Source organism: Homo sapiens, chromosome 16 (assembly GCF_000001405.40).
Source record: "Homo sapiens chromosome 16, GRCh38.p14 Primary Assembly".
Taxonomy (NCBI): Eukaryota; Metazoa; Chordata; class Mammalia; order Primates; family Hominidae; genus Homo; species Homo sapiens.
This window is the reverse complement of record NC_000016.10, coordinates 25,681,758-25,703,405: the sequence shown is the minus strand read 5'-3', so window position 1 is coordinate 25,703,405 and position 21,648 is coordinate 25,681,758. Positions and strand designations below refer to the sequence as shown.

The 21,648-nt window shown below is 44.6% G+C and overlaps 1 protein-coding gene across 1 annotated transcript in view, besides 2 other annotated features; it reads right to left on the bottom strand.

Annotated features, from left to right (window-relative positions):
• Positions 1–11,447, bottom strand: part of HS3ST4 (heparan sulfate-glucosamine 3-sulfotransferase 4) — a 445,727-nt gene extending 434,280 nt beyond the window's left edge. Inside the window, exon 1 of the mRNA NM_006040.3 lies at positions 10,255–11,447. Coding sequence (NP_006031.2) covers positions 10,255–10,988 — 734 coding nt within the window. The 5' untranslated portion in view covers positions 10,989–11,447. The remainder of the gene's footprint in view (positions 1–10,254) is intronic.
• Positions 9,702–10,202: an enhancer, noted in NCBI's record as "H3K4me1 hESC enhancer chr16:25704525-25705025 (GRCh37/hg19 assembly coordinates)". NCBI's record gives its function as "activates a minimal SCP1, AML or CMV promoter by ChIP-STARR-seq in naive H9 embryonic stem cells {active_cell/tissue: H9 hESC(naive)}" and the evidence as "EXISTENCE:reporter gene assay evidence [ECO:0000049][PMID:30033119]".
• Positions 10,203–10,703: an enhancer, noted in NCBI's record as "H3K4me1 hESC enhancer chr16:25704024-25704524 (GRCh37/hg19 assembly coordinates)". NCBI's record gives its function as "activates a minimal SCP1, AML or CMV promoter by ChIP-STARR-seq in naive H9 embryonic stem cells {active_cell/tissue: H9 hESC(naive)}" and the evidence as "EXISTENCE:reporter gene assay evidence [ECO:0000049][PMID:30033119]".
• Positions 11,448–21,648: the final 10,201 nt, after the last annotated feature.

Sequence of the window (21,648 nt, the reverse complement as noted above, 5' to 3'; positions counted from 1 at the left end):
TGAAGCCTAAAGGAATTCAATACTCGGAGCCAAGCCTGGCACACGTGATACAATATCATCTACCACCAGTGCTGCCACTCCCACGGCGACTGTTATTCCATCAGATTCGAACCTCCATCTCCCCCTCCCGTCCTAAAATAACCATGGTTTGTCTCTGATTCACTTTTTGCTATGTGGCAACATGAGTGCATCCACATTGACTAATGTGCACCAGCTCAACTCTTTTTTTTTGTTTGTTTGTTTTGAGACAGACTCTTGCTCTGTCACCAGGCTGGCTGGAGTACAGTGGTGCAATCTCGGCTCAATGCAACCTCTGCATCCTGGGTTCAGGCGATTCTCCTGCCTCAGCCTCCTGAGTAGCAGGGATTACAGGCACGCATCACCATGCCCGGCTAATTTTTGTATTTTTAGTAGAGACGGGGTTTCACCACGTGAGCCAGGATGGTCTCAATCTCTTGACCCTGTGATCCACCTGCCTCAGGCTCCCAAAGTGCTGGGATTACAGTTGTGAGCCATCGTGCTCAACTCTTAAGAGTTGAGTTGAGCCGCTAGCTCAACTCTTAATCCACTCCTTGGGCATGGTTCTTCTACCCCTGAATTGGGGGTGTAAGGCAGTCAGCCCCTCTGCAAGGGATTATAATAGTTTATGAATCTAAACAGTGACAGTTATTTTGCCACCCTTTCCTCTGTCAAATAAAATGTGCAAAGGAAGGATATCCCATATATGAAGTACATTTTGGTCAAGTTTATATAAACAATATTTTCAGATCACCCTCAAACACATCTGATCTCAATTTAGGCATCAATGACTTAGACAAACAAACAAACAAGAATGGGAAAGAAAAGGGAGACAGGAAAGGGGAGGAGGAAGGAAGGAAAAGAAAGAAATGCCACCCTAGAGAAGGATGTCTCTCCATTTACTCCTGTCCTCTCCAGCGCCCCTTAGTAGAGTATTAATATTTTGTTTTTACAAGTCCCTTGCAATTTTTGCTAAATTTATTCCTAGTTATTTCGTCTCTCTGGTTGGTTCTATACACACAGTATTTTTTCCCATTATATTTTCACAATGGGTGGCATAGGCATATAGGAAATCTATAAATTATACATTGTTTTTTCCTTACCAGCCACCTTAATGAATTCTATTATTGTTTCCAATAGATTCATAGGAGGATTGGTAATCTTAGGTTTTCCAAAAAGGAAAAGTTAAAATTACTTTGCAAATAGTAATAATTCTACCTCCCCCCTTTCTCCTTTTGTTTTTCTAATTGTATTATCTAATAAGTCCTGAACAATGGTTAAATAATAGTAACAGTAATGAGCACTTCAGGCTGGTTCTGGATTTAGTGGAAATGCTTCTAGTGTTAAACCACTAAAGATGATGCTGGCTTTAGGTATGACCCTATTTTAATAGCAGGTTGTTCTGAAAATCAGAAATAGATATTTCTTTTTATAAGATATCTTTTCAGCATCCATAAAATAAATCACAAATTTTTCTCATTTGCCTGTATTAACAATAAATCACATTATTACATTCCCCAAGATTGAACCATCCTTCCATTCTTAGAATAAATCCCATTCTGTCAAGACTGATAACACCTTTCAATGTGATCATTTACATGTCCATTTCTCCACTCTGTGAGTTCTTTCAGATCGCTGGCCATGATTGGTTCATGTTTCAGCCAAGCACATAGCACATGGTTGATAATACATGTTTAATGAATAAATACATGAATGAATAACTAAATAACAGCTGCACAGAATTAATAACTAAATAACAAGTCCCCAAACACCCTCTGCACCTCCCTCCAGTCTCTCTAATCCCTCCAGTGGATTAGAGAGATCATATGCCTGGCCGGGGATGGATCTTTATATACTTAACGTACATCTGGCTTAACTGGCCCCCACTTTTCTAAAAATAGCACCCTTGAACCCCTCTTTCTCTATGGGGAAACTATTTCATGTGGTTGCAATGGGGAAATTACATGGAACAGTTTCCCCGTAAAGAATAGAGAACCCTGCTTCTCTACTCTTACCACCACCCCAAGCCAAAGGGCTAGCTACATCTCCTAGGCCTGATTAGAATCCCACACAATTATTGCTTTAGGAATGGGGCACAGGACCCAACCTGGGCCCAAGGCATCTCTAGGAATTTCCTACAGAAGTTCTTAAGAAAAACTGTTTCCAAAAAGATTAATAAACATAAAATATGTTTGTCTAGGAATGCTTCTTACCATCTTGCCTAAACTGTGGTGAGACAGCCTGTCTGAGAATGAAGCCAGGTAGAGACAAACACGGCAAAGAATGGAAAGAGACAGGGGCCTAGTGACATCATTTGAGCCCCTGGATCCAGTTTTTCCTGAAACCAAGTTATCCCCAGACTTCTCAATCACGTAAGGCAATCAAATGTCTTTTGTTGTTTACAATAGTGTAAGTTCCATTTCTGTCATTTGCAACTGAAAAAAATATTGTCTAATTCACGTGTTGCTTTGTTTCCTTGTATATTCTTAAATAAGGTTGAAAAAAAAATGTCTAAGGCAAGTAAGTCCTAAGTAGTGAGTACAAACAGCAACAACAAAAAAGCCAACCACCTTCTTTTAATTAATGGCAAGATGGGCTGAAAAGCTCCCTTAGTGAATTATAATTTCAGAACGCAATTCCCAAGACAGTTACAGAGGAGCTTGTTAAACCGCAAAAACCAATGAAATCAGGAGATTACTTGAACGGGGCGGTGGTTCAATCCATTCCAGAGAGATCATCCATTATGCAAAACCAAAACCCTTAAAACTTTCTGACAAACAACCCTAGCAATCTTTCATTCATCTAAAGTCTCGAGGCCTCTCTCCTGACTTGATTTAAAAGTGAAAATGCCTGGTATGATTTTCAAAAATAAAAAATAAAAATAAATAAATCATGTTAGGATGTCTAGAGAACACCGGTGAAAGCAGCCAAATCTCAAAATAGAGGGTTTCGTAGGGTCTTGGGGAGCAATCCTGCATTCCCAAATGCCTTCGGTTCTGCAGAAGCACGAAAGGCAAACAGGCTCCTGGCATCCTAAATGTCTCTGAACTTACCCGGGGCAAGTGGCATCCATTCCTACTGGAGGCTCAAGAGAATGTCAGCATGGAAGTCCACAGAGCCTGTCCACCTCCTTACCGCATTTCTTTTGTGGAGAATTCTGGCTGCAGTTACCTCATGAAATCATACTTTTTTTCCTCCTTCAGCTCAAGTTACAATAGACCAAATTCTGGAATCCGGTTCTGATTATTCTCTGGAGAGCTACTTAAGAGCTGCTTCAGGGTTTAAAATCCCTCATTCAGACCTAATCTTGAAATAAAAGACTACATTTAAATGAAAAATACATTACAGCTTTCTCTTTAGGGCCGTCAGTACTGATGGGCAGGATAAAGGAAGGCATTGAAGGAAAATGAAGGAGAAGAGTAAGAGAGAAAAGAAAAATGGGAGAGAGAGGAAAGAAGAGGAGAGAGACATTTACTCTGTCACAAGCTCTACATAGGGCACTTTAAATGCCATTTCGTGTCATCCTCACGTAATCCTTTGGCAGCGGGTAATATTGAGCTCATTCTGCAGATGGAGAAATTGAGGCTTAGCTATATTAAGTAATTTGTCCAATAGATTCTGGCTCAGACATACAAAACATGCTCCAAACCATGTTGCTTCTATTCCACAGCTTCCTCTTTCTGAAGAGTCTAATACAGAAATGTGTTCTGGAACCAAAGTCTTTTCGTAGGTGAATGGACCCTATGGAGTTAAAATACCTTCATCACCTAAGAAACAGAGATTAATATAAGTAACCTGTTGTCCAATAAAACTAGTATGTGGCAAAGCCAAGCCTGGAATCCAGTTTTTCTAACTCTAAGATCTTAATACGACTGAGCGTAATCTATTTTATAAGTGCAAGTTATCGATATAGATCAAATACAAGCACTCCTGATTAACGAGTGAAAAATTGAGAATTTCCCCAGTTTCAAGAGAACGTTAATTGAGAACGGAGGGGAATGTATTTGCGAATTTTCTTTTTTCTGCCTCAATGTTCTTGTTTATATCAGGCTTTTGTGGATGTTGCAATATATCCGGGAGGTATTTCCCCCATGCTGTTACAAAATCTGTAAAGGAAGAAAAAGAAAAAACCCTACACTAAAATAGCACATGTAAGCCACGATTCTGGCCACTGCACAGGGTACACAGGGTATGGGCATGTCCGTTGTTTTCTGAAATGAGTTTAAACCAGAGGTCACAAACTGGTAGCCAGCTGGCTGTATCCAGCCCACAGATGTATTTTGTTTGTCCCACAATGTTGGCCCCCACTGGGCTTTTAAGAAACTTAAATCTGTTGCCAATATTAAAAATCAAAAGATTTCAAATCAAAACCTGGATTTCCAGTTTCTCTTACACAGTGGAAGATCTCATAACCCCAATGCCACACTTGCACATTGGGAAAAAAGTAGCTAGACTGCAGCAGTGGCTTCCCCTTCAGCCAGAGCACAGGCAGGCACTTTAGCTTCTCTCCACCTAGTCTACCTCGCTCATTTATACGACCTGTCTGAGCCCTGAAGTTGTGTGACCTTCGGTTTAAAAGGGTAAGGAGATGCACACTGCAAAGCCAATCATTACTGGGGTTTTCCCAAACCATCCCAAATAACAGCCTCTTTGGACAATATTATGACAGCTGTGATAGGAAGTAGAGCATACACGAGACTAAACTGATTTGAGAAATGGACAGACTCGGTAGCTGAGACTCTATTTGGATTTCTGCTCTAGGATACTCATTTTGTTTAGAAAATACATTCACTTTTATTATTTCATTTATTCCTCCCAACAATCTAAAAGGAAGCAATTACCCTCAGATAAACAACTGAAGCTAAGCGATGTCAAATAAGTTATTCAACCAAGATCATCCAATTCATAAGTCTTAAAGCCACGTTTTGAACCTGGATTTGTCCAGCAACAAAAACAGTGCTTTTAGAATCAAGAAAGGACACTCTGTAGGGCCACGAAGCTTGTTTCCACCCCAGGGCTTTGACACTGGCTGTTCCCTCCAAGTGGAGACCTCTCCACCCAGATCTTCACATGGGAGGGTCTTACTCTGTTACTCCATTTACATCACCTCCAAAGAGAGGTTTTCCCTAATCATTCTACTTAATATAACTCATATGTTGTCCTGGCCTCGTGGTACATGCCCGTATCCCAGCACTTTGGGAGGCTGAGAACGGCGGATTCCTTGAGGCCAGGAGTTTGAGACCAGCCTGGGCAACAAAGTGAGACCCCTGTCTTTAAAAAAATTTTTTCAAATAATAATAACCAACATGCACACACACATTCCCCAATTACTTTCCAGGACTTTGCTACTCAAAGTGAGATCCAGACAGCAGCAGCAGCAGCAGCATCTAGCAACCTTGTAGAAATGTGGACTCCTGGGCCGGGCACGGTGGCTCATGCCTCTAATCCCAGCACTTTGGGAGGCCGAGGCAGGCAGATCACAAAGTCAAGCGATCGAGACCATCCTGGCCAACATGGTGAAACCCCGTCTCTACTAAAGATACAAAAATTTGCTGGACGTGGTGGTGCGCACCTGTAGTCCCAGCTACTCAGGAGGCTGAGACAGGATAATCGCTTGAAGCAGAGATCACACCACTGCACTCCAGCCTGGCAACAGAGCGAGACCCCGTCTCAAAAAAAAAGAAAAGAAAGACGAAATGTGGACTCCCAGGCTCCTCTTCAGACTGGCTGAATCCAAATCTACATGTTAACAAGATCCCTAGATGATCCTAAAGTTTACAAAGCACTACACCACACAGGTGCTGCCCAGTAGAAATATGTGAGTCACAAGTGTACTTTTAAATTTTCTAGTAGCCACATTGAAAAGGTAAAAAGAGGTGGACTTAATTGCAAGACGTTTTACTTGATATGAGTATAATTTCAACATGTAAGCAATCTAAAATTATTATTGAGTAATTTAGTATTCTGTGTATCTTACACTTACAGCACATTTCAATTTGGACATTTTACCTATTCAATAGCCACATACAGACAGTAGCTACCATACTAGACAAAACAGCTCTGGGCCATCCATTACTTTATTTTTCTTTGTAGTCTTTATCACCACCAGAATTTGTATTACATATTATTTGGCTCTTTGTCTGCTGTCTCCACAACCCTCCCACTAAAATGTTAGTTCCAGGAGAACAGGTGCTTCATCTATCTTATTCACCATTTTATCCCCAGTACCTAATACAGTGCACGGCATATGGTAGATATTTTTTAAATAATTGAATGAATGAATGAATGAACACAGGGTATATGCTTCCTAGTACTTTATGTGTGGCAGTGTGGTACAAGGGAAGAAATCAGCCCTTTGAAATTAGACAGCAGGTTCAAATCTCAGCAGAGGCACTGAACAGCCAAGTGACCCTGAGTTAATCATTTACCCTCTCGGAGCCACGTGTAAAGTGGAAATGCTGCTACATATCTCAGCATATCATCAAAATGCTCAAATGAAATAACAGGTCTATAATTGTAGGTAGCACCAATTGCCACAATGGCAGGCATTCGGTAAACACCAATGAAATTCCATCCTTCTCCATTCTCTCCCCAGTTGCCACATGCAAAATATGCTGCTGAGCACTGACCATTTTCCTCTGGGTAGCATAAGCGTGACTTTGTAGAGCATTTTCCTGAGTTACTTTCCCCTAGCCAATGGAATGTGTGTATTCACTGTTGACACTGAAGACAACTTAAAACCATGGAAGAGCTCCCAGGTACTCGGGAGGCTGAGGCAGGAGAATCGCTTGAATCCGGGAGGCGGAGGTTGCAGTGAGACGAGATTGCGCCACTGCACTCCAGCCTGGGCGACAGAGCAAGACTTCATCTCAAAAGAAAAAAAAAAACAAACAAACCATGGACAATCACTTCCCATTGCCCTGGGGCTGAATGGTTTCCAGTGTAAAGTGGTCATGGTTACCGTATGCTCTGCAAACCATGAGAGAGCAAACAGCTCATGTTGTCTCTGTCACCTTGATGAGTTCTGCATTGGCAGCCAGTTGGCCTGGCCCGAGGTCCCATCCCTTAGAAGAGTTTAAAGTCTCTGCCTAGACAGCTTGTAATCAGCTCATTCTGAAAAGTGCACTGTGGCTTTGCCTTTTTTTGGAAAGGGAGAGGGAAGAGGGCATGGAGGGTTTAATCTCACCAAATTTATTAATCACTGGCCTGTGTCAATCCACCAAGTGAGGCTCGCTTCTCTGTAGATTTTAACACATGCATCCCAATCCATTAGTCTATCTTGCCCTGAAAATCTGATGCACACGTTCTAATCTCAGATGTATTTTTATATCACATTAGATCAACAGCATAGGAGGAAAGCAAAACCCGGATTTAGAGATAACTGGAGTGACACTGAGGAACTGAACCTGCTAGGGCTCTTGAGTTGAATATGAGAAAACCCCAAGCCAGCTGTGCAGAGAGCAGCCCCAATTTCTTCTTGGCTCTCCCTCTTGCTGAAAACACAAAAACCAGAAACATGTGCAGAATTCATAGGCTACTGGAAGCACATTTAAACAAAATAACAATAAATAAACAGTGGAAAAATTAAAACCTTTAATTAACCTGTGGATCTCTAATCAGTCAAATAGATCCCAGATAGCATACCTGTTATAGGAAGGAACTATACTGTTTAGGTACAGATACCATCATTTAAAAGATGAAGAGTTGGACTAGGAAACCAGGAGAAAGAGTTTCTGATACTGGAATCGATGCCACTGATCAGTGCCATCTGATACCAAATCAATGCCACTGTTTCCTTTTCTACAATACAGTGAGAATGCTGCCCCTCTTCCTATACGGGAGTGAGAGAGGAGTCTGAAGAGATAGATGGAACTGATGAAAATTTCACAAATGCCTCAAAGCACCGCTGTCTGTGGTAAGGCTGGAGAGTGGTCCAAAGCAGTCCCAGCACACTCAGATCCTGTGGGTCCAACGGGTCTTCCCAAAAGCAGAGCTGGGGGCTAATGATCTCCTCTATGTTAGACAGACATGTATTGGCAGGAAGCTTGTTCCTAAGAGAATTTTGTGTCCAGTGCTTTCAATCAGCACCCCTGGACTAGATGCTGGGGTGGGGATGAAGGACACAGAGATACCACATGGTCCCCTTAAGTGAGGACCAGGGGAATCTTGTTCTATCCACACCTCTTCACTTTAACAGTTCTGTGAGTGGCTACCAAATATGACACTGAGTCCCAAATACCACAAGCATTGGTTGGGAGTAGAAGGCTGGGCATACCACAGCGCTGGAATAACATAATCAGGAGCCACGTCAAACAAGGTAGTTTCTATACCTTCTCTTCCTAACATCAGCATAAAGGAATCTAGGAAAATCTGGCATCTTCTATTCTTTCATTCGGAAAACTCTCCAGACCCAGTGATAAGACTTCCTGATACACATTCCACCACACATCCTTCATTAACTTTATTTTAAGTCACCCAAATAAAACACCCCCGGCCCTCTGTTTCCAGCTGCCACAAACCCAAACACCTCAGATCTTGGAAAGATTTGATCTTTCTGCCTCCCTGAAGGGGCATTTGACAATTCTCATAATTCTAAAATTAGAATTGGAAAAAAAAAAAACGCAATTACCCTCATAAGGCCAAAGCTACTCCACAGAAGAAACCAGAACATTCCTACAACCAGCAATTAAACAACTAAAACCTTCCCAGACATCGTGCCCCTTCTTTATTTTGCTGTTGCTGCATTAATCATCCTAACACCTTTTTAATTATAATCACAAACTGGAAGCCATGGCTTCTGATGTTATAAATACTGATTTTCCAGTTAAATTAGGCATTTGCTGTTTTATGTTTTGATAGGAAGGGGCTGTTTGAAGCCTCCTAAAATACTGCAATTAGTTCTCTCTGTTGAAACAGACAAGACGTTAACAGACACATTTGCTGCTTCCCTGTAATGTGCTGGAATGTTTATGACTAAGTGTACTTCTCTCAAGCTTTTAAAGCATAAGGCATATTTTTAAAAGTGGAAGAAATCAATCATAATGCACACATTTATTATGTATTTCTTCAGTTAAGTTATTTCTAAAACTTTCCCAGGCTGTAATTTAAACCTAGAAAGCACATCTCCTCAACGGGCAGGCAACCTGTCAGAGAAACAATCTTGATTTTACCTATTGGCTCTGCTAAGATGATAACATCACTTCAGCTGACAAAGGCTGTGTTTCTGTTTGACATTTGCAATTAATTACCGAAATGCAATGGAGATGCAGCCAGCCATGCAGATCTGTTTCCCAGAAAGATATAAAACAGGAGGAAAGAGAGAAAGAGAAACAACAAAGGCGAAGGAGGTTTGCGTTTGGGGCATCTGCACCAGTGCCGTTTAAAATGTTATGGCTGGCAGGAAAGCTGGATTATTAATTTATTTTACCTGCACTTAACTTTCTAGTCCTCTCTCCTACCTTTCTCTCACCACCGGCAGACGGTGGGAAAGGAGGGAGATGAACATCTCACAAGACAGAAGCTCCAATCTGTTGCGAAGGAGGCGGAGATTAGACAGGGCACGGTCTGAGGCATAAAAACTCTCAGGGCACCAACTGTCATGCAGACATTGAGGCTTCTGGTGCAAAATCAACTCCGTGCTCATTCAGCCAAGGGGGATGGAAAGTTACGGAGGTGGGAGGCATCCTTTCTTTACTAGAAAGCCAAAACGCCAGCATGATCTTTGTAACTGTTCCCTATTCATTTTGCTCTGACCTTAACACACTAAAGTTGAATTCCAGCCACGCAAATGCGTTTGAGGGTGATTTTAAGAGATTCCAGGGGACCTCAAATCCCCTTAGTCAATTTAGCCATCCTGTCTCACTCCTCAAAGTCCTCTGCCCAGAATCCCAGAACCCCGCAAGAGCCTGGTTTCGGAAACACCCAGCAGGCAGGAGGGCTGGGGGTTCCCAGGCTTGGAGCTGGGCAGATTCAGACAGCACCTCCTTGGATGAGGAGCGCGGGAGGCAGGGCAGGGTGACACCTCCTCCCCTCGCCCTGAAATAAAGTGACCTTTCGCTGGAGTCCAGCCCTCTCAGCCGATCCCCCTGAGCAACGCCGCCAGGGTTTGCAGAGCCCTCGCGGGGGCTTGGGCCTCTCGGGACGGTGCCTGGATGCTCGAAGGGCGTGGAAAGCCGCGGCTTCCCCTCCGCGTCTCCCCCACGCGTCTCCACCAGCCCGCGGAGCCCAGGGTCCTACCTGTACCACTCCAACCCCTTTTCGTAGTTCCTGTCGAAGAAGTGCGGCTCTACGCCCACCGCCCGCACGTCCGGGTGCACGCGGATCGCCTCCAGCAGCGCGCGGGTCCCTCCTTTCTTGACCCCGATGATGAGCGCCTGTGGCAGCTTCTTCTCCCCATAGTCGGGGGTGCTGACGGCGCCGCCCCTCTCGCTGCTCCCGTTGGCCGCTCTCCGGCCTGCGAGATCCTCGTCGGTGGTGCTGGACTCCTGCGCTTCCCTCTCCGGCAGCGCGCTCTGAGCCGTGATCATCTCGCTGGGGGCCAGCGGGGTCCGGAGCCAGGCGTCCTGGGCGCCTCCGCCGCCGCTCGGCAGCCCCCAGCCGTCGGTCCCGGGGGCGGCTGGCTGCTCTGGGGGCTCGGGCGGCTCCCCGTGGCTCGCGTTGTCCAGCGGCGGCGGCGCGGGCGGCTGCGAGGGGGCGCCGAGGCGCACGGGGGTAGGCAGCAGAGAGGGTGGCGGCGGGCTCGGCGGGGGCTCGGCGGCGGCGCCCGGCGACTCCTGCAGCGCCAGAGGGAATTGCAGGGAGCCCGAGCCGCCCAGGAGGCTGTAGCACAGGTAGGTGACAGACAGGGACAAGGTGCACATAAAAAGCAGCTTGCGCGCCGGCGGCCCCTTAGCAGAGGCGCCGGGCGGCGGCGGCGCGGCCAGAGGTGGAGGCGGAGGCGGAGGCGGAGGAGGTGCGGGCCACCGGGCCATCGCGGCTCCCGGCTCGCGGCGGCGGCGGCGGCGGCGGCAGCCCCCGGCGCTGCCCGGACATGGTTTCAGCCGCCGCCCCCGCCGCCGCCGCCGCCGCCGCCGCCGCCGCCGCTGCCCAGCCGCCCCGGCTGCATGAAGCGACGCCGCTGCGCCCCCGGCCCTGGCCGCTGTCCCGCTGCGCCAGGGGGGAGCCCGGCCGCATGGCCCCCCGCCCCACGCTGCCCGCCGAGTCCGGGTGGCCCCCCCACCACCGCCCCCCCCTCAGCCTCAGGCAAGGGGACCGAGGGGGGCGCGCGGACCCGCCGGCGGCACCTGCTCCGTCTGCAGCGCCCCCGCTTCCCCGGCTCCGCCGCGGCTTCTGCTTCAGCCTCTGCCGCCGCCGCCGCGCGCTGTTGCAGCCCGGAGTTCCTTCCCCGCTGCTAACTTTCTGCCGGGAGAGAGGAGAGGCGCGGAGGGGAGGAGGAGGGGGCCGGGCGCGCGCCCGGCGCCGCCGAGGGAAGGGGGGTGCGCCTCGCGCGCGCCTGCGAAGGGGGCGGGGGAGCGGAGGCGTGCGCTAGGGCTGGGGCACCCGGGAGAACGGAGATCGTGCCCCCCAGCCCCCAGCACGCACGCACTTGGGGTGTTCCCCACCCCACCTCGTTTACTCCCCTCCCTTGGGAGCTCGGGACGCCGTGTTCTCCATTCCTTTGCCCCAGTACTTTTAGAGAGGTAAAGCCCAACGCCTGCCTCCGGTGCCGCGCACCGGGAGCTGGAAGACAGCGGGTGACGAAGCTCTCGCTTCCGCTTTTCCTCTGGGACTCCAACTCAGCCCATCCCCGACCCTCCCTTCTCTCGCCCGGGATATCCTCCTGCCTTCGGTCCAGGAGTGAATCCTTTTCTACAACCGCTTTCCCATCCCAACTTCCATCTTTCCAGCCACCGCCCCCCGCCCCCCATCTTCTCTTGAAGCTCCTGATGGGTGGAGCTTTGACACAAGCCCCCAGGTTTCCCAGCCCCAGAGCTTTTCCCTCTGTCCCATCACCAGGTGACAACACTTTCTGCTTCAAGAGATGAGGCTGCCCCTCCTCGACACCCTTAATCACAGGTGCACACACCTGCGCCTCTTCGGGGGCATTGCCACTAACGGAGTTCATGGTTTCCTGGACTGAAATAGTGTGGGACCACTGTCGCTCTGAACACCTAATAAGCGGAGACAAGCTGGGTTGCTGGGTGTCTGTGCATCGGCTCGCTGAAATTTTTTAAGTGTATTTTCTTTGCAGAGAGATCTCCACCCCTCACCTCCCTCTCCTGGGGGAACATGGTAAACATCAGAAGGCTTTGGAAGATTCACAACTAGACTTTGCTTCCTGTTGCATTTTGCTCAGGGAAGTGAGGGAAATGGGAGAAAGAGACAGAGTGATCAACTGAGGCACTCCAACAAACTCAGCTTTCTGCAACCGGGGCTGGCTCTGCACAGAGCTCTGCCAGGTGCCTCCTGGGGGTGGCTCTAGTGAGTACCATTTGCCCCCCAGCCACAGCTGGGTGCCTGACGGGGCTGCTTTTCCCTTGTTGGCTGCTGTGGCTGGCATCTCTGGTTTTGTTTGATCACGTAATAGGAAAACCAGTTGAAAGAAAATGTATATAATGTCTAAATATTAACGAGATACCTAGTGCCAAAGAGAAAAAAAATGTTAATCAAATAAGATAAAGAACACGGACTTTTCCCTGAGTGAACAAAAGCTCACTGCTGCTCTCAGCTGGACACGAGTTTCCTTCACTGCAGCTTTAGTTCAGATAAAGATTATTCTTTTATAATATATTTTTTATGGTACACTGGAGACCTCTGAAATGCAGAGTCTGGTGTCCTGTAAATCATTCTGTGTAACTAGGGATGCTTTTTCAAACAGCACACAACTGCATTACTGTAATGTCAATGGGAAGGGGCCAACTGGAACGGAGAGAAACACAAGCACTGCCCAGCCCTCCCTGTGCTCCGAGCCATGATCCAAGGTGGTCATCTAGGAAGCCTGGGTTGCAACAGATATTGCCTTGTCAGCGACCAGTCTCCCTTTCAAGGCCCAGGCACTAGATGTCTGGCATATGGCCCAGGTCCTCCTTGCAGTTCCTGCCTAGCACCCAAACTTTTCTATCTCCCCTCTCAGCAATCCAAACGAATCTGCTCCATGCCCAGTTTTACTAAAGATGGGCTCTCAAATTTCGAAAGGTTTTGGTAAAAAGGTATCAAAACCGATGGTGGCAAATGGAGCTCTGAATGTGGCCAGCACAGTGACATTAAGAAATGTAAACTGGCTGCAATAGTTTAAACTGGGGGCTTTCCCAAAAAAGGAAAAAAAAAAAACACCTTGGAGAGGACGTTACTGTTGAAAAATCAGCAGATCCTGAACTTTGAGCCCCTCAGTCAGAGCTGAGAAGTAGAGTGAACATGCTGCCGTTTTCACAGTGCTCATACAAGTTGCCCCCCCACACATTTATGTCACTTGCCTTGACACTGCTAGTAAGGACATTTCTCAGTATCCCTTTTGCCTCCAATCCTCAAATAGTCACGCTTTAATAACAAACTCTTGAAAGAATAGAGCCCCTTTGGTAAAATGTCAGGCCCACAAGTGATAGGGAGGAGGCGGGCTTTTTTGGAGAGGAACTTTGTAAATTTCACACTTAGGCAGTTGCCTATTTTTTATCTACTTTTGAGCCACGCTTTTTCTAGGAGCAAGTCCTTGAGAAACCTACAATGAAAAGTGGGAGCTACCTACACAGGGCGAACTCTGACGTCATCCAGGCATTCCCAATGGATCCGAAGACTCGATGGAAGATAGTTTTCTGTCTCCCCTGCCAACACCCACAGAATTCCTCTAACTGGTCTCCTGGCCTCACTCTGCCTCATTTCCCTTCATCCTAGAAAACAATAGCAGATCAATGTTTCTGAGGCAATGTTTTTTTAGCTCTACCAATGTCCCCCCGACTCAAAAAACCATTATCTCACTACCTAACTAATAAACTCCAACCTCTTTACCTTGGTACTCAAGATTCCCCCTACCTTTGGTGTATCTCGCAGTCCTGCCAAACCAAACAGTGCATGCTGTCCAAACATACACACTGCGTCCTTCTCTTCTGTCTCCGTAGTATCAGATGATAGCATTTGAGCAAAGCTGTCATTTGCTAGCCAAGTGGCTTTTGGAAAGGTCATTTTACCTCCCTCAGCCTCAGTTTCTGCATGTATAAATTATGGATAAGACTCACCTCAAATTGTTTTTATAAAGAATTAAATTGAATTAGCTAGAATATGCAAAAATCCCTGGCTCCCTGCCCGACATGGGGTGCCTACCAATAATTATTCAAATCTAAATATTGGCCTATGCCATGCTCTGCTTCCTTTTCCTATTAAAACTTTATTCTTGAAAAATATGTGTGTACTCTTTCTTCAAAACTATCCCAGTGTATCAGCTAAAGTTCACTGTCCTAAGATGTTCTGTTTGTAACATTTATAATGTCAAGTCTAATGCCTTCTGGAATATTGGTAAAGTTTTAGGGTTTTTTGTTTGCTTATTTTCTATAAAATAAAATCACTGGAAGGATTCATAGTAACTCAAATAACTAAAGGGAATTTTTAAAAATCAACAAACAAACAGCAAAATTGGCTTTGGAAAGGACAGTACAGTGTGTGGTGGTCATTACTGACATTCGTCAAATATTGTCCAGTCTCGTTGTGGACATCTGGTAGGGATATACTTCCCTGACCCCTTAAAGTTAGGTGTGACTATGTGCTGCTCTGGCTACTGAAATATGAACGGAAGTGAGGTTTGTCCCTTCCAGGCAGAAGCCTTGAGAGGCAGGAGGAGATTTGCCAGGGTCTGTTTTCCCTCCTGAGCAATTGCAGAAGAAAAGGGTTGAATACAGGGTCTTAGCTTCTGTATTAGGCCTTTCTCTTACTGCTATAAATAAATACCTGAGACTGGGTAATTTGTAAAGAAAAGAGGTTTAATTGGCTCATGGTTCTGCAGGCTGTATAGGAACCATTATGTTGCCATCTGCTTGGCTTCTGGGAGGCCTCAGGAAAGTTACAATCATGGCGGAAGGTGAAGGGGCCACAGTCACATCGCATGGCCAGAGCAGGAGCAAGAGAGCGAGGCAGGAGGTGATGTAAACCTCAGAGAACTCACTCACTGTCACTAGAATATTACCAAGGGGGTAGTGGTAAACTATTCATGAGAAATCTGCCCCCAAGATCCATTTACCTCCCACCAGGCCCCACCTCCAACACTGGGAATTGCAATTCAACATGAGATTTGGGCAGAGACACACATGCAAACTATTTCAGCACCCATCTACTCAATCCCGCACGTTGATTAAGGATAATACAGATCCAGCCCCTCATGACAGGTACATGATCAAGAAATAGATCTGTGCTGTTTTCAGCTCCTGAGACTTACGGCTTGGTTATTACCACAGCACAACCTAGACTATCTGACTGATTAAAGCACACATGCTATTAATTTTCCTTGCTGTTGGCCACAATGGCTTCACTCCTCCAATATTAGAATTCCCCTTCACAAAAGTAGATAAATGAAAGATTAAAAGCCCATCAGGTAAAAAAGAAAAGTTTTCCAGAAATATAAGCAGAATTCTTGTCTCGTATGTAGCAACTCTATTTCCTCAGTTCATCTTTCATCTGTTGATTAAAAAGTATATCTATAAGCTAGGCATGGTGGCTGACACCAGCAATCCCAGCACTTAAAGAGGCCGAGGCAAGAAGATCCCTTGAGCTCAGTAGTTCAAGAGCAGCCTGGGCAACATAGTGAAACCCCATCTCTACAAAAAACAAACAAACAAACAAATAAAAGTGTATCTATAAAGATTTGGAGGTAAGCCTCCAGACAAAGCCCAAAGGACAACATTGTATACTTGTAAAAAGATTTAAAACAGAATAATAGTAGCCATGAACATATAAGACCTTGCACTGAAAAGACCTTGCATTGAAAAGACCTTGTGTTTACATAGGAAATAGAAATTGCTTAGAGCAGAAAGCACAACAGGACAAAATCTGGTGGATAGAATTGAGCAATACTCATAAGAAAGATTATAGATTCAAATATACTTATCCCCCCGAAACAAAATTTTAAAACAAATGAGCTACATGTTCAACTCGAGAAGTTAAAAAAAGAGCAAGAGTCAGGAAGTAAGGAAATAATAAAGAGAAGAGCCAAGCTTATGTTTATATTTAGTGGCTGTTTATTTCTTGTTATGGACTGAATTGTGCCACCCTCCCCCTGTCTCCAAATTCAAAATGCTGAAGCCCTAACCTCCAATGTGACTGTATCGGACAACAGGGTCTTTAAGAGGTGATTAAGGTTAAATGAGGTCATACATATAGAATCCTAATTAGATAGGACTGTAGCTGGAGAAGAAGAAATGATCTCTATTCCACTCCCTCTCTTTCTCCCTCTCCATGTGAAGACACAGTAAGAAGGTTGCCATCTGCAAGACAAAAAGAGAGCCTGTGCCAGAACTGGACCATGCTGGACACCTGATCTTGGACTTCCGGTTTTCAGAACTGTGAGAAAATAAATTTCCTAGGCTGGGCGCAGTGGCTCATGCCCGTAATCCTAGCAGTTTGGGAGGCCGACGTGGGCGGATCATGAGGTCAGGAGATCAAGAACATCCTGGCTAACACGGTGAAACCCAGTCTCTACTAAAAATACAAAAAATTAGCTGGGCATGGTGGCACGCGTCTGAGGTCCCAGCTACTCTGGAGCCTAAGGCCAGAGAATCACTTTAACCCAGGACACGGAGGTTGCAGTGAGCCAAGATAGTGCCACTGCACTCCAGCCTGGGGGACAGAGCAAGACTCCGTCTAAAAAAAAAAAAGAAAAGAAATTTCCTTTTTTTAAGCCACTTAATCTATTATATTTTGTTACAGCCGCTTGATCTGACATTTATCTTTCATGTTTTATGTTTATTTGCCTGTTTATTGTATTTTTATAAGTTTTCTATTGCTTGGTTGCTAGCTCGTTGATTCAAAAAAGTCTTTTTTTATTAGAGGTATCTGGTTTTTTTTTCTAACAGATATCTTCCAATTATTGACTTACCAATTTGCCTTTACCAATTAACTGGTTTTAGTGTTTCTGATGACATATGTTTTTCATTATTATGTAGTCAATGTCTCAGTGATGTTTTTTGTGTATTTTACCTTTGATGGAAAAAGGCATCCCTCAAACTGTGTAAACATTCATCTATACTTTCTTCTAGGACATTTTTTGTTTATTTTCTACACACAAATGTTTAAACCATCTGAAATTCATGTTTGTGTATAGTTTTACCAAGCTATCTAACTCTTTCTTTTTTTTCCTAGCACTGGTTATTTCTCAACAGTTTGAAACTCCAATGTCATAATAAATCCATAATGTTGGAATTTTCCCATCTAGAAATATAGGGGGCCAATCTCCATTAATTCAAATATTTTATCTTATTGGACCTTCTGTAATTTCATTGACATAAACCCTTCACAAACCTGGAACTGGATTAGTGTTTTGACGTCTAATGCTGCTTTGTTCAGTTTTATAAACCTCTTGCTCTTCTTTTGTTTCACTTATTTATTCATTCTTTCAATTGTCATTTTTAAGCGACTAGTATATTCCTGGCCCTGGATTAGACATTGACGATAAAGTAGTGAGACAGACAGCAAGGTCTCTGTCCTCATTAAAGTTTAATAAAGTGAGACAAGTACTAAAAGAGAGAAAATACAGTTAGGCATGGTGGCTCACGCCTGTAATCCCGGTGCTCTGGGAGGTGGAGGTGAGAAGATCACTTGAGGCCAGGAGTTTCAGACCAGCCTGAGCAACATAGTAAGACCACCATCTCTACAAAATATTTAAAAAATTAGCCTGGTGCAGTGGTGCACCTCTGTAGTCCTAGCTTATCAAGAGTTTGAGGCAGAAGGATCACTTGAGCCCAGGAGTTGGAGGCTGCAGTGAGCTATGATCACACCATTGCATTCCAACCTGGGTGACAGAGAAAGATGCCATCTCTAAAACAAGAGAGAGAGAGAGAATACAGAATGCCCTGCTGTGGAAGCACATTTTTTAATACATACTTTAAGTTCTAGGGTACATGTGCACAACGTGCAGGTTTGTTACGTACGTATACATGTGCCATGTTGGTGTGCTGCACCCATTAACTCGTCATTTACATTAGGTATTTCTCCTAATGCTATCCCTCCCCCCTCCCCCCACCCCACAACAGGCCCCGGTGTGTGGTGTTCCCCACCCTGTGTCCAAGTGTTCTCATTGTTCAATTCCCACCTATGAGTGAGAACATGCAGTGTTTGCTCAGAATGATGGTTTCCAGCTTCATCCATGTCCCTACAAAGGACATGAAGTCATCCTTTTTTATGGCTGCATAGTATTCCATGGTGTATATGTGCCACATTTTCTTAATCTAGTCCATCATCAATGGACATTTGGATTGGTTCCAAGTCTTTGCTATTATGAATAGTGCTGCAATAAACATATGTGTGCATGTGTCGTTTTTTTTTTTTTTTTTTTTTGAGACGGAGTCTCGCTCTGTCACCCAGGCTGGAATGCAGTGGCACGATTTTGGCTCACTGCAAGCTCCACCTCCCAGGTTCATGCCATTCTCCTCCTCAGCCTCCCGAGTAGCTGGGACTACAGGCACCTGCTACCACATCCGGCTAAGTTTTTGTATTTTTAGTAGAGATGGGGTTTCACCATGTTGGCCAGGGTAGTCTCGATCTCTTGACCTCGTGATCCACCCACCTCGGCCTCCCAAAGTGCTGGGATTACAGGCATGAGCCACCGCACCTGGCCGCATGTGTCTTTACAGCAGCATGATTTATAATCCTTTGGGTATATACCCAGTAATGGGATGGCTGGGTCAAATGGTATTACTAGTTCTAGATACTTGAGGAATTGCCACACTATCTTCCACAATAGTTTAACTAGTTTACAGTCCCACCAACAGTGTAAAGGAAGCACATTGTTAAAGCACCTAACCTAGAGTACAGGCATGAGAGAACCCTTCACAGAGGAAGGGACATGTATGTCTATATGCAGTATAAAGAAAAAATTGGATTAACCAGGTAAAGAAAGAAGGACATTATTTTTAGTATGTGCAACATCCATCCATTTCACTCATTATACATACACTTAGCAACTTAAATTGAAGGCAACTTCCCTAAGAGAAAAACAAGTATTTGCCAAAAACTACAGTTAACATTATGATAAAACGTGATGAAATATTAAAACCAAACCATTTAATGGAAGGAACAATGCAAGTGTGCCTTCCAATGTAGCTTCTATTCATCAGTATACTGGCATCTGCAGTTAATGCAGTAAGATAAGAAAACATAATAAGGACATGAGAGTTGGGAAGAAATAAACAGATTATTATTTGCCAACTATATGTTTATTGGCAAAAGAAAATCTACCAACAAAAAAGCTTGGCAAAGCTGGTGAATAAAATTCAAAATACAGGTCAAGTGCAGAGGCTCACACCTGTAATCCCAGCACTTTGGGAGGCTGAAGCAGGAGGATCACTTGAGGCCAAGAGTTCAAGACCAGCCTGGGCAACATTACAAGACCCCATTTCTACCAAAAAACATTAAAAACAAAAATTCAAAATTGAAAGAGTAACTGCATTTCTATATACAATCAGGATACAACTTGAAAATATAACTGTAAAAGAATAAATATAACTGTAAAGAAAATATAACTGTAAAAGACTTATTCAGAACTACAATAAATTCCAATAAGTACTTAGAAATAAACAATAAATGGCAAGCAAACTAATACTTATTTAACAACAGAAATTTATTGTCATACAGTTCTGGAAGCTAGATGTCTGAAATCAAGGTGTCAGTAGGATATGCTGCCTCTGTGACTCTGGGGAAAATCCTTCTTTGCCTCTTCCTAGCTTCTGGTGGTGGCCAATTCTTGGTGTTCCTTGGCTTGCAGCTCTGTCACTCCGGTTTCTGTCTCTGTCATCACAGGTCATTTTTCCTGTGGGCCTCTATTTTTCTTTTTCTTTTTTTTTTTTTGAGACTGAGTCTCACTCTGTCACCCACGCTGGAGTGCAGTGGCGCGATCTCAGCTCACTGCAACCTCTGCCTCCCAGGTTCAAGCAATTCTCCTGCCTCAGCCTCCCAAGTAGCTGAGATTACAGGCACCTGCCTTTGTCTTCTTGTAAGGTCACCTGTCGTAGTGGGCAAGGTCATAACCTAACAATCTTATCCTAACTTGCTTTCATCTACAATGACCCTATTTCTAAATAGGGTCCGACTCACAGGTACTGGAGGTATTATAAGTGAGAAAAAAAATGAGCTATTTATTAAATAAGGCATTAGGCAAATCATAAGCAAGAAGAGAAAACCAGTTTCCCCCTGCCACCAGACAGAAAAGAAAATCTAGACAGATTAAAGACATAACTATGAAAAGAAAAGCTTATGGGCGGGTGCAGTGGCTCACACCTGTAATCCCAGCACTTTGGGAGGCCAAAACAAGAGAATTGTTTAGGCCCAGGGGTTCAAGACCAGCCTGGGCAACATAGGGGTACCCTGTCTCTATAAAAAATAAATGGGTATGGTGGCTTGGGTCTGCAATCCCAGCCACTTAGGCTGGGATGGGATGATCACTTCAGCCCAGGAGGTCGAGGCTGCAGTGAGCCATAATTGCACCACTGCAGTCCGGCCTGAGCAACAGAAAAGACCCTCTCTGAAAAGAAAAGAAAAGAAAAGAAAAGAAAAGAAAAGAAAAGAAAAGAAAAGAAAAGAAAAGAAAAGAAAAGAAAAGAAAAAAGAAAAGAAAAGCTTTTTCGGTTTTGTAAGAAAACATAGGATATTATCCCTATAACATTCAGGTAGGAGTGTCATAAACAGAAAACAAAAAGCATATGTCATAGAGGAAAAGACTGACAAAGACTGAATTGGCCTATGTTTTAAATTTATTTTAATCAAAGGATGCCATTAAAAGGATGAAAGAAAAAATAACCTGGGAGAATGCCTTAATATTCAGAATATATACAAAAGGGGCTGGGCTCAGTGGCTCACACCTGTAATCCCAGCACTTTGGGAGGCCAAGGTGGACGGATCACTTGAGGTCAGGAGTTCAAAACCAGCCTGGCCAACATGGTGAAACCCCGTCTCTACTAAAAAAAAAAAAAATACAACAATTAGCCGGGTGTGGTGGCAGGTGCCTATAGTCCCAGCTACTTGCAAGGCTGAGGTAGGAGAATCGCTTGAACCTGGGAGGTGGAGGTTGCAGTGAGCCGAGATAGCGCCACTGCACTCCAGCCTGGGGGACAGAGCAAGACTCCGTCTCAAAAAGCAAACAAACAAAAAACCAAAGCAAAACAGAATATATACAAAAAAAAAATCCAACAAATAACTTGAAAATCACTAAAATAATGAAAAGGATATAAATAGGCAGTTCACCAAGGAGAAAATCTGGATGGCAAATAATCATAAGAGATTATATTCAACCTCGCTATTAATCAGAAAAGTGAAAATTAAAACACAGGTGATATTCCATGTCATGCTCTTTAGAGTGGCAAAATGTAATGTCTTTTAGCTTCAAATCTTAGCAAGAATGTAGAGGAAAATAATATCACATATTTCTGAAAGGAATGTAAATTGGCACAACTGCACTGGAGA